This window comes from Homo sapiens, chromosome 5, assembly GCF_000001405.40.
Source record: "Homo sapiens chromosome 5, GRCh38.p14 Primary Assembly".
NCBI lineage: Eukaryota > Metazoa > Chordata > Mammalia > Primates > Hominidae > Homo > Homo sapiens.
Window position 1 is genome coordinate 138,630,839 of NC_000005.10, and position 15,136 is coordinate 138,645,974.

Below are 15,136 nucleotides of genomic sequence, written 5' to 3' on the forward strand. Positions count from 1 at the left end.
GCCAGGCCCGTGGGGCAGTGTCCAGGGTTCTGTCTGCTGAGACCCTCCCTCGCTGGAGAAAGGAGCACTTGGTGGGCTTCTCATCAGGAAAGAGGAGATGGTTGAGCTGCATCTCTACTGAAAACTCCAGAGTTCATCTGGGAGGGCTCCTTTTTCTCCAGCCATCAGTTTTCTGACTAGCAATGCTCATTGTGTGCTGTGTAGGGCTGGCCTGGTTCCTCTTCCTTATAGCAGCCCCCTGCCTCCTCCAAAGCCAGTGCCTGTGTTAATACGATAATGCCATGACAGTGGCCAGGAGATGGTTTTACCTAACTGATTAGGCCCTCTGGAGTGGCATCTGGGGCACAGGCTTAATTCTCCCTGGCAAGGAGGCAGCCAGGGCCCAGGGCTGGAGAGCACAAGGCACTGGCTGGGAAATTGCATCTGGGAGAGCACTGAGGGGGAAAATTGGAAGTATCAGAACTTCCCAGGTTGCTATTCCACAGAGGCCAAACATTGTTAGCAGCAGCACTAATTATGATCCAGGAGAGTCAGGCCTGGCTGCCTAGCCTGCCAAGGCAGTCCTTGAGAGCGGCCTTGGGAGCCAGTAGGGCAGAGGCAGAGATGCAGGCAGGCTGGGGCTCTCAGCAACAGGGTGAATTTGGGAGAGGAAAAACTGCAGAGCCTTTCAGACCCATGTGGAAGGGGAGCTGGATAGACTGAGTTGCTGGGTGCCTTCATGTCCTTTAGAAGGCTTAGAACTATGATAGGAAGGGTGGAAATTAGATGCTTTAATGATTTCTACCTGCCAGGAATTAAGAATCGTCTGTATTTGTCTCCACTTCCTCTCTTCCCATCCCTGCTTGTCCTCAGTGCTCCAAGGCAAATTCTCTTGTCAATGTCACCAGTGATTTCCATGTTGCTAATTTCAGCTGTCATTTCTGAGTCCCCATTTTACTCATCCTGGCAGTGGCATTTGACATGGATGGTTTCTTCATAAAACACTCTCTTCCTTTGGCCTCCATGACACGCCCAGTTCTCCTACCTCCATCATCTCCTGGGCTGGCTCCTCACCTCCCCATCACTGGATGCCTCAGGGCTGTCCTTACGCCTCTGTTCTTCTTCATCCATCCTCACTCCCTAACTAATTCCATCTTCTCTGGACTTTAAAGCCAGCTATGTTGATAGGTCGTGGTCATATCCAGCGGCTACTTGCCATCCCCATGTGAGTCTCTCTTATAGTCCTCTCAAACTCAGCAGTCCCTCAGTCTTCCCCAGGGCAATAAATGCAAATCTGTTCTACCAGAGCCCCAATCTTGGAGTCATTCCTGGTTCTTCTCTTCCTTTCATGTCCCCTTATCCAATCCCTTGGGAAATGCTATCAAGTTCTACCCTTTAAATTATCTCCAGAATCTGGTCACTTATACCCAGTTACACCACTATCACCCTCATCAGAACCACCCGCTGTCACTGTTTGCCTGAGAAATTACAATAGCCTTTGAATTAGGTACAATACAGGCCATCGTGGTGGCTCATGCCTGTAATTCCAGCCAAGACAGGCAGATCACTTGAGGCCAGGAGTTCAAAACTGGCTTGGGCAACATGACAAAATCCCATCTCTACTAAAAAATACAAAAATTAGTCAGGCATGGGGGCGCGTGCCTGTGATCCCAGCTACTTGGGAGGCTGAGGCATGAGACTCGGTTGAACCCAGGAGGCAGAGGTTGCAGTGAGCCGAGATCACACCAGCCTGGGTAAGAGAGTGAGACTCTCCCTCAAAAAAAGAATTAGGGGCCGAGCACAGTGGCTCATGCCTGTAATCCCAGCACTTTGGGAGGTCAAGGTGGGCGGATCACAATATCAGGAGATCGAGACCATTTTCTATTAAAATTGTATATATTATTTGAGCTGTACAATGCAATGTTTTGGTATCTGTATGCATTGTGAAATGATTACCACAATCAAACTAATGAACATATCCATCACCTCACGCATTTACCTTTTTTAGTTCATGTTCTTTTTTTTTTTTTTGAGACTGAGTCTCGCTCTATCACCCGGCTGGAGGGCAGTGGCACGATCTTGGCTCACCGCAACCTCCACCTCCCGGGTTCAAGCAATTCCCCTGCCTCAGCCTCCGGAGTAGCTGCGATTACAGGCGCCTGCCGCCACGCCCGGCTAATTTTTGTATTTTTAGTAAAGATGGGGTTTCACCACCCTGGCCAGGCTGGTCTTGAACTCCTGACCTCGTGATCCGCCTGCCTTGGCCTCCCAGAGTGCTGGGATTACAGGCATAGTCCACCACGCCCGGCCTGCTCACATCCTTTTTGCTGGCATTTTGTCACATGGCTGCGCTTAGTTGCAAGGGAGGTTGGGAAATGTAGTCCTTTTTCTGAGCAGCCATGTCGCCCGCTAAAATGTGGAAGGAAAGGATGAATTTGAGGGGAAAACTCCTTGCTCTGCCATAGTCTCCTAAGTGGTTTTCTTCTTTCTGCTCTGCCCCCTACAGGTTGTTCTAAACACAGCAGCCAGAGTAATCCCGTTAAATCAGAACGTGTCACTTTTCTGTGTAGAACCTTCTAAAGACCTCCCCCCTCACTCAGAAAGAAATCTAAAATCCTTACCATGGTCTACAAGGCCCTACATAATCTGAGCACCAATTTCTCTCTGATTTCATATCCTACATCTTTCATCCTTACTCACTCCACTCCAGCCTCACTCACTCCACGCCTTGCAAAATACCCCCACCTCAGAGCTTTTGAAGCTGCTATACCCTCTGCCTGGAACATTCTTTCCCCAGATAGCTGAAAATGTGTCTCCTTCACTTCCTTTAGGATCCTGCTCAAATGCCACCCACTCAAAGAGGCTTTTCTTGGGCCCCATTCCCACCATCCCCATCCCCCTTACCATCCTTTGTTTTTCTCTGAGGCAATTAACATCACCTGAAATATTATATGTTTACTTACATTATATGTGTTTTTCCCACTAGAACATATGATCTAGGGTCCACATACAGCAGGTGTGCTCTACATGCTTGTGGAGTGAATGAACAGATGAAGACAGCAGTGCATGGGAACAAAGGCAGCAGAAGGCTGCTTCTTCCTTAGTCATTTCAGGAGGACCCATGTCTTGATTCCTGTTGTGGGTCCAATTTGGAAACAGACTCCTTAGTTTCTTGCTTCTAGGAGCTCCCTTGAGTTCAATTTATGAAATATTCATTAGACATCTAGTGCGTTTGTTACCTAGTATGGCAGATGTAGAAGGAAAATAAGCTATAGAGCACTATTGGCCCTTGGGAAACATATGGATTGGTTAGGAGCCTAGATTTTGTCCTTTTCTTTCTTTGCAAGTGTGACCATTCAGGTGTTGTGTAAAAGGCCAGGGAAAGAGTGGCTTCACTCTTTATGGAGGCACGATAAACTGGTATGGCCTGGGTAGGAAAGAGGGGAGGAGGCCGGGCGCAGTGGCTCACGTCTGTAATCCCAGCACTTTGGGAGGCCAAGGTGGGTGGATCACCTGAGGTTGGGAGTTCGAGATCAGCCTGACCAACATGGAGAAACCCCATCTCTACTAAAAATACAAAGTTAGCTGGGTGTGGTGGCGCATGCCTGTAATCCCTGCTACTCAGGAGGCTGAGGTAGGAGAATCGTTTGAACCAAAGAGGTGGAGGTTGCGGTGAGCTGAGACCGTGCCATTGCACTCCAGCCTGGGCGAGGGCAAAACTCCGTCTCAAAAAAAAAAAAAAAAAAAAAAAAAGGAAAGGGGGTGGGGTCTGAAGAGAGGCTGCCCCATTACAGGTTATAGTGTTTTTTTTCTCCCTCTTATTCCCTATGGAATAGGGCTTCGTTCCTTGCTGGTCTGCTTAAGAAACAGTTTGAGGCCGGGCACGGTGGCTCAGGCCTGTAATCCCAGCACTCTGGGAGGCCAAGGTGGGTGTTCACCTGAGGTCAGACATGGTGAAACCCTGAATCTACTAAAAATACAAAAATTAGCCAGGTGTGGTAGCAAGTGCCTGTAATACCAGCTACTTGGGAGGCTGAGGCAGGAGAATTGCTTGAACCAGGGAGGCAGAGGTCTCAGTGAGCCGAGATTGCGCCACTGTACTGCAGCCTGGGTGACAGAGCAAGACTCTGTCTCAAAAAAAGAAAGAAAGAGAGAGAGAAGGGAAAGAAAGAAAGAAGGAAAGAAAGAAAGAAAGAGAAAGAAAAAGAAAGGAAGGAAGGAAGAAAGGAAGGAGGGAGGGAGAGACAGAAAAAAGAAGAAAGAAAGAAAGAAAAGAAAGAAAGAAAAAAGAAACAGTTTGAACCAGTTCTCATTTGATGGAGGAGGGGGAAAGATAGACGGGGGTGGGGGTTGGGGTTGGGGGCTTGCGGGGGTGGGAAGGGGCCTGGCCAGAGGGCTGCAGAGGGCTGGTGGAAGAGAAGGAAAGGAGGGCTAGGCTTTAGGGGGCCCCAGCTGGAGGGAAAGGTAGCTGAGAAAAGCTGAGGCTGAGTAGGAGATAAATGACCTGAAAAGATTGCTCCATTATCCTTCCTTGCTCTGGGCAAAATGCAAAAGGTCATGCTTGGTTATTTTCCCCCCAACTCCCTCCTCACAGGGCCACTTAGACACTGCTCTGACATTTACAGCCGCAGAGGATCAGAGGCCTCTTCTGAGGCCTGGCTCGAGATTTCCACATTGGGAAAGTTCCAGTTTCTTTTTTTCTTTGGATGAGGCTGCTTGCTGCATCCCTCATAATTCTTCCTTCTCTTGACATTCCCCTTCAGTCCGAGAGGGAGAGCCAAGAGCAGTGGTTCTCAAACTTGAAAGTGGATAAGAACCACTAGAAGGCTTGTTAAAACAAGTTTGGGCTGGGTGCAGTGGCTCACACCTGTAATCCCAACACTTTGGGAAGCTGAGGTGGGTAGATCACTTGAACCTAGGAGTTCGAGACCAGCCTGGGCAACATGGCAAAACCCCATCTCTACTAAAAATACCAAAAGATTACCCACACTTGGTGGCGTGTGCCTATGGTTACAGCTGCTCTGGAGGCTGAGGTGGGAGGATCACCTGAGCCCAGAAGGTCGAGGCTGCAGTGAGCTGTGTTCATGCCATTGCACTTTGGCCTGGGCAACAGAGTGAGACTGTCTCAAAAACAAACAAACAAAAAAACAAGTTTGCCTGATGCCACACCCAGAGCTGATTCAGTAGGTCTGGGGTAGGCCTGAGAGCTTACATTTCTAGCAAGTTCCCAGCTGATGCGGATGCCAATACTGCTGGTCCCAACCACGTTGGGAGAATCACTGACCTAAAGCAACTTGTTTGGGTCAAAAGATGTCCCTCATGATCTTCAGTCCTTTTCTCCAGCTCCCCAACCAAGGGGAAGTAGGCTTGAGTTATCACAAGAGTCATCCAAATTCAATGTCAAGGACTTCTTGACCATCAGGTTTATAGGACAAGGCAGTCCACAAAATCCCCCTCCCTCTAAATCTTTGAGAATCTCTTCCATTCTCATACACCTGGGTGAGTGAAGATCTGTTCTCCCCTGCCACAAACCCCACTGCCTGGACAGGGAATTCCCGGGACTTGAGAATGGCAGCAAGTGTGGCAGGTGGAAGATGGGAGGACAACAGATGCCGAGTAAGCAGAGGGAACCCCTCCCCTCCTACATGCTATTTCTTTGAGATTAAAATATTTGTTTCTTCCTGGGCTCTGGTCAAGCCCATATCTGGGAAAGCATTTATGCTTAATGTCCTCAACCCATTAGCAACCCGGCATGGGGCTCTACTAATCAGGGTCCTTAATGGCAGCACCGTGAAGAGTGAGGCTGTAAGTGACTGCACCTGCTTCCCAGCCTCAGCTGGAGAGGAAGTGTCTAGACAAGACCAGAGACTAGGTAGGCTCAGCGGTGGCCTGAGAATGATTCATGCCGGCTTAGGAGGCTGATCTGACCTAATGATAACCTGTCCTCCCACCTCCAGTTTGGTAGGGGTGCAGAGGAGGCTCCCTGGTTACCTTGGCTGAAGTAGCAAGACCCCCCAGTCCTACTCAGCCTCCTCTTCTCTCCTCAAATTACAGAACATTGGCCTCCTTTAGAGCATGTTCTTCTCCCAGCATCCAGCATTTATTGAGCACCTCTATGTGCAAAGGACTCCTTCCCGCACCAACTGCTTTTCATTTCAAAATCCACAAGCTCGTACTTGAGTCTGTCACCAAATAGGGGGTGAGGGCCTTTGACCTGGAATCTAGGGGATACCTAGGGATCCTCTAGTGCTCAGACTGTGTGGGCTGCACCTTCTGCAGCCACTCTTGATGAGTTGGGTTCTTTGGCTTTGATCTACAGAGGGAGTATTTGGAGAGCCCTTATTTAAGAGTAACCAGATATTCTAAGGATCAAGGCCAGTCTCGAAGTATTTGCCTCTTGCTTCTCTTGACATGATGTGTTTGGTCCTTGCTGCAGACTAAGTGTCCCCAACTAAATGTGTATGTTAAAACCCCACCCCTCAATGTGATGATATTAGGAGGTGGGGACTTTCGGAGGTAATTAGGATTAGATGAGGTCATTGGGGCCCTCATGAATGAGATTAGTGCCCTCATTCATGAACGGGGCTAGGCATGGTGGCTCATACCTGTAATACCAGCATTTCAGGAGCCCAGCGCAGGAGGATTGCTTGAGGCCAGGCGTTGGAGGCTGCAGTGAGCTATTTGTGCTACTACACTCAGCCAGGGTGACAGAGCAAGACCTGGTCTCTAAAACCAGAGTCCTGAGAGAGCTTGCTGCTTCTTGCTTGCCTCCTCTCTCTGTGCTCAGCCAGCTGAGGATACAATTAGAAGCTGGCCATCTGAAGGAAGAAGAAGGCCCCACCCAGAAGTTGATTCCGATCTTGGATTTCCAGTCTCCAGAACTGTGAGAAATTAATTTCTGGTCAGGTACAGTGGCTCACGCCTGTAATCCCAACACTTTGGGAGGCCAAGGCAGGCAGATCACTTGAGGCTAGGAGTTCAAGACCAGCATGGCCAACATGGTGAAACCCTGTCTCTATTAAAAATACAAAAATTAGCTGGGCATGGTGGTGCACACCTGTAATCCCAGCTACTTGGGAGGCTGAGGCAAGAGAATTGCTTGAACCTGGAAGGCAGAGGTTGCAGTGAGCCAAGATGGCGCCACTGCACTCCAGCTTGGGCCACAGAGTGAGACTCTCTCTCAAAAAAAAAAAAAAAGAAAAAGAAAAAGAAAAAAAAATCTGTTGTTTATAAGCCACTCCATTTACAGTATTTTGTTATAGAAGCCTGAACTGACTAAGGCAGTTCCACTAGACAACTCAAACCACTGCAGCTCTCCCAGATTCTGGAAAGGAAAGATATCCCACTCCACCCCCACTCAATGAAACACTTGAGACAGGAGGTGAGTTTCTGCTTCAGAAGGACATGGAGTCATGCTTTAAAAAGGACTATAGAAAAAACAAACAGGCTGGGTGCAGTGGCTCATGCCTGTAACCCTAACACTTTGGGAGGCCAAGAAAGGCCGATCACTTGAGCCCAGGAGTTTCAGACCAGCCTGGCTAATGTGCTGAAACCCCGTCTCTACTAAAAATACAAAAATTAGCCAGGCGTGGGTGTGCGTGCCTACAATCCCAGCTATTCAGGAGGCTAAGGCAGGAGAATTGCTTGAACCTAGAAGGTGGAGGTTGCAGTGAGCTGAGATTACACCACTGCACTCCAGGCTGGGCAGCAGAGCGAGACTCCATTTCAAAAAAAAGAAAAAACAAACAGATTGGGTGCAGTGCCTCATACTCTTGATCCCAGCACTTTGGGAGGCCGAGGTGGGCAGATTGCTTGTGCTCAGGAGTTTGAGATCAGCCTGGGCAACATGGCAAAAACCCATCTCTACAAAAAACACAAAAAAATTAGCCAGGTGTGGTGGTGCACACCTGTGGTCCCAGCTACTTGGGAAGCTGAAGCATGAGGCTCACTTGAGCCCAGGAGGCGGAGGTTGCAAACAACATAAGAGAAACAACATAAGAGAAACCATCAAGTGCCAGTGACTGGTTCTTGTTCATTCTCCCCTCGTTTATGGGAACTTCAGAGCCTGGAAGAGGTAGAGCACCTCTAAGGGGGACACCACACAAAGCCACCACACTAAGCCACCACTGTCATCAGAGCCACAGGGCTGGACAGTGCTGACTTTTCTCCTACTCGGAGGGGAAAGCCTATATGGACACCTGTATTCCAGGCCACCAACAAGCCCGATGGTTGTCCAAGAGCTCAGGGCCTCCTCTCTCCTGCCTTTTCTATTCTGGTTCCTCAGCCTCAGGTCTGAGCCATGGGAAACCCTCTCCAATCTGCTGCAACAGAACATCACAAACTGCTCCTGTTGTGGTCTGGGCTGCCAGTTCCCTAGCCTGCTGTTGCTACTGGAAGAAGACTATGACATCAGTAATCTCTCCCCATGCCAGTCCCTTTGTAGGTGGAAGGTGCCCATTTGAAAAGAATCACATCTAAAGCAGACAATTCAAAGCAATAGGGACAATGAAGGAAGCAAGAAGTGCCAACTGGGTGAAGCCGTGTTTCAGCCAGGCCCCATTATGCCTACACTTTTCTCAAGGCCCAGCCTCCCCACATGGCCGGTTCAGGCCCATCTGCCCAGCTCTCTTCCCCTTGCCTGCTCCTGGGCCCTGTCAAAATGCCAGCTCTTCCCTTCTCTGTCCCCTCTGCCTTCCAGGCTCCACCTGGCCCATCCCCAAGATGTCCAAACCTCCCAGCTGGAGGCTGGATTAGCAGCAGGCAGGGTAAGCCCGGCTGGGGCTAGAACAGTAGGTCTGAGCTGATGAACCTGTGTTCCAGAGCCAAGGGTAGATGGGAACACTAAGCAATTGAAATGTCACCTGCTTCCTGCTCCCCCCTCCCTACCAGGACATGATCTCCCTAAAGGCAGACTTTGGAGATGGAAGACCTGTGCTTGACTCGGATCTGTCCCTTTCTAGCAGCTAGCTTTGTACAAGTTAGACCCTCTAAGTCTCCACTTCCTCCTTTGTAAAATGAGGGCAGTAATTGGGGTAATTTGAGAAGGAATGGTAAATTGGTAGCTGAGGTACAGCTCTTAGCTTTTAGTTATCCTTCTCATGCCCTGCCCTTTCTGTCACCCTGGGCACTGGTCATGCAGGAGATGCTCTCTTGGCTGCTAGGGGGGTTGGGATGCCCCAGGAGGCAGCCCGCACCTTGCCAAGGAGCAGCCGGAGCCCTGAAACCTCCAGGAAGGGGTGGAAAAGCCTCTATCTGTGCTGTCTTTCCACAGAACCAAGGGAGAGGGTGGCCAAGAACTTAGGTGAGAAGAGGCACTGTGGGTGGCGGGGTGGGGTGGGGGCTCATTTCCATAGTTTTGTCCCAGAAGAATGTGCTGGGTATTTTTCCTGCTTTGCCCTGGCCAGGTTTGAAGGAGGAATCCCTGCTGGAGATTGATGTCACAGGCTTGCCTTCCCCTCCCCAGCTTCATCCTTGTGATTTAAAGAAATTATTTGGACATAGAAGTTAATGGAAGTAGGTTGCTAGTGTGTGGGCGAATCCATCACTGTCTCCCAGCATTCCAAGAGTGGATCTGTCTTTCAGGGTGAGATATCCTAGAGCGACTTTCCAAGGTCTGAGAAATAGAGTCTACCTTGGGAGGACAGGGCCGGGGGCATTGTGGACAGGGATTTTAGAAAGCTGGGGTGACTGCACGCTACTTCTAGGGCCTGGCTGGAGGACTTTCTTTACTTATGGGGGAAGGGAGGGAGACGGTATTGGCACGGATGGGGATGCTGCTTCTCTACCTCCGTCCCCAGCTGTCTTCTGCCCCAGGAAGTGGATAGGAAATAGACGGACACATCCCCGCAGTCCACTGCTCAGGATGAGGAGGGCTGATTTTGCAGCTGTCAGTGGCAGTGATGAAAGAGGTGGAGGTGAGGGGAGGAGGGGGTGCTGTTTGATGGAGCAGTGCTGTCGGGGGAAGAGGACTAGCTCCCCTTCCTTCCATTCCCCCATTCTCTCAGCTCAGCACTTCCTGGAGGTAGCATTCTGGGAGGGAGCTGCTTTGAAAGCACAAAGAACTAGTGCTGGAAGGCTGAGGGGTGGGGAGGTGTGAGGAGGAGAAGATAAGTATTCAGGAGGGGGCAGACTGCCCCTCAAGCCCCACACACAGCCAGGCCTTCTCCACAGCCTAAGTATGTGATGTGTGTGTGTATGTGTGTGTGTCCACGCCTACATGTAGTGCGAGCATGGACTTGCAGCTATGAAGTGTTGACAGGGAGAGTGACTAGGGACAATGCAGAAGCTGTTCTCCACCGGGCAGATGGCTCCTCTCAGGTACTTGCTCGGGTCTTCCTCTCTCCACTCCTTCAGTTCTCTCTCCACTCCTTCTCCTTGTTTTGTCTTTCTCCTCCTCAGTTTCTCAGCATCCCCTTTGCTTTCCCCCTCCCTCTCTTCTAGCTGTCATTCAGATGCAGCAAGATGGATTTAAATCAGACTGAAGATCCAATGTGGACTCTATATGGCAAATAAATAAATTAATTAATTTAAAAAAATCAGACTAACGAATAAACTGGGAAAGGGCAGCTGCAGATGGTCCAGGAGAGAGAATCCTGTAGGTTATGGAATGTTAGAACTAAACACCAGAGGAGTCTGCGGGTCTCTTCTGCACCTGTACACAGGAAGCTGGAGGTCCTTTGGGAAACATGTCTCATTGGCTCTGGGGGCAGTTGCTGGGGAGAAGCAGCATCTCCCCTCTTGTGCTTCCCATGGCTGGCTGATCCCCCGACAACACACTCATAGCCCTGAGATAATTGACTGTCTCAGCCCTTTCTTTCTTAGGCTCAGAGGAAGAGCCTGGTCTTTCTACACAGACCATGACTTTTCTCATGAAGCTGGGGACATCTGCAGGCTGGATGGCCTCCAGAGCTCTAGGCATGTGCCCAGAGGCCAGGCTGCCAGGCCCAGGTATGACAGCCTAGGCGTCCTCTCAGGTCGACTGCGCTTTAGACATTCTCCTCCTTGGTCCCTGATCCCCCTTGAGGAAGTCCAGCTCTGATTCAGGCTGTGGCAGTATCGGGGGGCAGCCTAAAGTGAGGACCCTTCTGGTAGGGCCTGCTCCTGCAGCGGCTGTCTTTGGGCATTGTGATTAGAATCTACTTTAATCATTCTTTCTCCCCGCCCCCCACACTGGTTTCAGCCAAACCAGACAGAAGGGGGCGCTCCTGAGTCATCCGAGAAGAGGATTCTGGGCTGATGCCTTAGCCCTGGCTCAGGGAACATCGGAAATTTTGTCTGTTCATCCATCAATCTGAAGGTGACTGGTGCGGTCACCTCGTTCTCTTTCTTCCTTTGCTTTCTTTCTTAAGAGATAGCGTCGGCCTTTCTTAAGAGATAGGGGGTGGTGGCTCACGCCTGTAATCTCAGCACTTTGGGAGGCCAAGGCGGGTGGATCACTGGAGGTCAGGATTTCCAGACCAGCCTGGCCAACGTGGCGAAACCCCGTCTCTACTAAAAGTACAAAATTAGCCAGGCATGATGGCAGGCACCTATAATCCCAGCTACTTGGGATGCTGAGGCTGGATAATCGCTTGAACCTGGCGGGCGGAGGGTGCAGTGAGCTGAGATCACGCCACTTCACTCCAGCCTGGGCGAAAGAGTGAAACTCCATCCCCCCACACCATAAAAAAAAAAGGGATAGTGTCTCACTATGTCATCCAAGCTTGCAGTGGCACGATTATGGCTCACTGCAGCCTCAAACTCCTGGGCTCAAGCCATCCTCTCACCTTAGCCTCCCTAATAACTAGGATTACAAATACGCACCATTACACCTGGTTAATTTTTACATTTTTATTTGTAGAGGTGGGGTCTATGTTGCTTAAGTGGTCTCGAGCTCCTGGTCTTGAGCAATCCTCCTGCCTCAGCCTCCCAAAGTGCTGGGATTACAGGCGTAAGTCACGGCACCCAGCCCCACTCACCTGCAGACTGACAGATGGACAATTTTTTTCTAGCAGGACCAGACAGAGACTTGGAGGAAACACTTTTATGACTTGTCCAGAGACTCCCTGGGCTGGAAGGAATCTGGCCTCTGCCTCTGGGAGATCAGCAAGTGGGGCAAGTCTTTGTCTGGGGCCACGGCCAAGGCTGGCTGGGTCCTAGGCTGGGGACAGTGTAACCCCTGACCATTTGCCAGCCCCCAGTAGCTCACCCTGGTCTGACTGTCTTGGCAGAGCTGAATGTCCCAATTTTCTTCAGAACTTTTTCCCAGGTTAATCTGTGTTGCTATTGCCCATGACCTGCTCACCACCTTCTTCATCATGAAAAAAAAAATGGCTTTCTCTCTTTCTCCCAGATCTCACAGTCCTCTGTGACTCTTCCTGGCCCCATCAGATGGGGATGGGCTGAGCCTAGAGTACTGAGCTGGTCGGCAGGGTGCAGCACATTCCTTACCTGGAGCTGACACTGTTAGGACTTTCTTCCCAGTTGTCTTCTTCGGGCTTCCTCCTCCCCACCCTGTCACCCCAAAGCCTCCCACACTTGGGAGTTTCTCCTTCCAGTAACAGGGCCTGCATGAGCACTGGCTTAGGGGGATGGGGTGGGGGGTACGATGCCTGTATCAGGTTACACAGCCCCAAAAGAAAAGGCTGGCTTTTTGGCTTCTAGCACCTCCAAATTCTCTCTGTCCAAAGGATGAGGAGCAGTCCTGGGTGTGGTGGCTGGTGTGGAGGATGGGACCTCTGGGCTGCCAACAAAGGCATTGCCAGCAGAGCTGAGGGCACAGGCCAAGTCTGGAGTCTGTGGACTTGTACTTGGGACATGCCCAAGTCATCCCTATGTCTACACCCTTCCATCTGACCAAGTCATCTGTTCCCCCAGAGCAAACTTGCCAACCCAAGACCACATGTGGCCCAGGACAGCTTTGAATGCAGCCCGATGCAAATTCATAAATTTTCTTAAAACATGATTTTTTTGCGATTTTTTTTTTTCTCACAGCTATCAGTGTTAGTGGGTTTTTTTGTTTTTTGGGGCGGGGTGGGGATGAAGTCTTGTTCTATTGCTCAGGCTAGAGTGCAGTGGCATGATCTTGGCTCACTGCAACCTCCCCGCCTCCCAGTTCAAGTGATCCTCGTCTCTCAACCTCCCGAGTAGCTGGGATTACAGGCTCGTGCCACCATGTCGGCTAATTTTTGTATTTTTGTAGAGACAGGGTTTCGCCATGTTGGCCAGGCTGGCCTTGAACATCTGACCTCAGGTGATCCACCTGCCTCAGCCTCCCAAAATGTTGGGATTACAGGCATGAGCCACTGCTCCTGGCCCATGTTAGTGTATTTTATGTGTGGCCCAACACAGTTCTTCTTCCAATGTAGCCCAGGGAAACCAAAAGATTAGACACCCCTGCCCTAGAGCCTGGCTCTGTAGAAACTCTCAGGACTTCAGGGGTCTACCTCATCCCACAGGGCCACAGGGTTGCCTTGGGGGTGGTGTGGGGTTGCCCTACCCTTTTAAAATGCCCTAAGGGTCCTGACAGCTACGGGTGGATACCCAGCCTCAGCTCCAGCCCAGCCCTACTGAGGCATTAACTCTGGAGCTCTCTAGGGCAGTAGGGGGTAGGGAAGAGGCCTTCTCTGATTGAAAATCTGAAGAGAAGAAAATTGCGTGGGCCTGTAGCCTTTTCTTTGCGTCTCTCAGCTCTTTCACCAAGGACGTTTTCCCTGAGGTTTCCTCTAAATTCTCCCAGCTGCAGATCACGGCACACACTGCAGACCCCTGAGACACCCACCTGTGAAACCAGTGTGGGAATGGACCAGTGAGGTGCACATCTGTGGGAAGGGCCAAGGATGAGGAAACTGTATCTGTTCAAAGCCCATCGCAAATCAGCTTCTTCATCCCTCTCAAAGGTCAAAAGCATGACAGGGCCCAGAGGAGTGTTGGTATTTTCAGAGGAGAAGGCAGTGAGGATTTGGGAGCAGTCCACCCTCCTCAGCCACATCTCAGATCTCCTTGCTGAAATAAGGCCTCAGCTGGACCAACAGAAGACAGGGAACTTAGGCACCTGGAAGAGGTGCAGACCTTATCCATCCTCCTGTGTGTCCCCCCACCCCAAGCCTGATACCAGGCCCTCTGTATAGGGGCAAAACTTTTTCCATTCTAAACGAACATTTACTCCTTTTCTCCAGGACACTGGGCATTAGCTGGACATCGGCCTGTTCAGGGGACCTCAGGCTTGAGACAGAAATGAGGAAGCACAGAGATCAAAGCCTCCTTCCCAGACAGGAGTGACTTTGAAGTTCACTGGCATTGCAATTAGGAATGACTTCCGCAGAGGGCAGGGATGGAGGAAAAAAAAAAGGAAAAAGGAATGGCTTCCCTGACTACAGCTCCAGAAACCTCGTTTTCATAGCCCCTACTACTTAGGGAACTGGGAGTTTGGGCCAGTTTGGTGGTGGCTCCCCAGTAGGTAATCTGAAGGCCTGGGGTGGGGGTAAGGAGGGGAGTATAGGGATCACTCCTATTAATTGACACTTCCCATGGCTAAGGTGCTGTTCAAGGCATTTTACGTGTTTTGTCTCATGAAATCTGCAAACTACTCATTGAATTAGGTCTAATCATGATTTCTATCTTACAGACAAGTAAACAGAGGCACACGCAATGATAATAAAAATCAGAATAGTAATAATAATGATAACATTTTAACAGCTTTTTAAAAAAATTTTTTAATTAAAAAGAGATGAGGTCTCACTATGTTGCCCAGGCTGATCTCAAACTCCAGGCCTCAAGCGATCCTCCCACCTTGGCCTCCCAATATGCTGGGATTATAGGTCTGAGCCACCATGCCCAGCCTTTAACAGCTTTTTTTTTCTTTTTTATTTAATTTATTATTATTTTTTAAATCAGGCAGGCTCCCAAGCCAGAGTAGGCTCAGAGAGACTCCCAAACCGCTTTAAAAAAAAAAAAAAATTGACACAGTGCCAGTCTTGGTGCAAGCACATGATGTATATGGTACTATTAAATCCTAAGAATTCATCATATTATCCCGATTTTCAGCTAAAGAAACAATCTGAGCAAGAAGTGACTTCACCAAGGTCATGGAGTCTTAGAAAATGACCAAGCCAGGAGCCAAACACTCTTCTCTCCAATTCCAACCAATCAGCAGCCTGTGCTGCTGATTCCTTGGCAA

General features: G+C 50.0%; 4 annotated features.

Annotated features, from left to right (window-relative positions):
• Positions 10,410 to 10,963: an enhancer, noted in NCBI's record as "H3K27ac-H3K4me1 hESC enhancer chr5:137976937-137977490 (GRCh37/hg19 assembly coordinates)". NCBI's record gives its function as "activates a minimal SCP1, AML or CMV promoter by ChIP-STARR-seq in naive H9 embryonic stem cells {active_cell/tissue: H9 hESC(naive)}" and the evidence as "EXISTENCE:reporter gene assay evidence [ECO:0000049][PMID:30033119]".
• Positions 10,964 to 11,517: an enhancer, noted in NCBI's record as "H3K27ac-H3K4me1 hESC enhancer chr5:137977491-137978044 (GRCh37/hg19 assembly coordinates)". NCBI's record gives its function as "activates a minimal SCP1, AML or CMV promoter by ChIP-STARR-seq in primed H9 embryonic stem cells {active_cell/tissue: H9 hESC(primed)}" and the evidence as "EXISTENCE:reporter gene assay evidence [ECO:0000049][PMID:30033119]".
• Positions 11,087 to 11,166: an enhancer, noted in NCBI's record as "active region_23213". NCBI's record gives its function as "activates an Ori minimal core promoter by ATAC-STARR-seq in GM12878 lymphoblastoid cells {active_cell/tissue: GM12878}" and the evidence as "EXISTENCE:reporter gene assay evidence [ECO:0000049][PMID:35858748]".
• Positions 11,177 to 11,256: an enhancer, noted in NCBI's record as "active region_23214". NCBI's record gives its function as "activates an Ori minimal core promoter by ATAC-STARR-seq in GM12878 lymphoblastoid cells {active_cell/tissue: GM12878}" and the evidence as "EXISTENCE:reporter gene assay evidence [ECO:0000049][PMID:35858748]".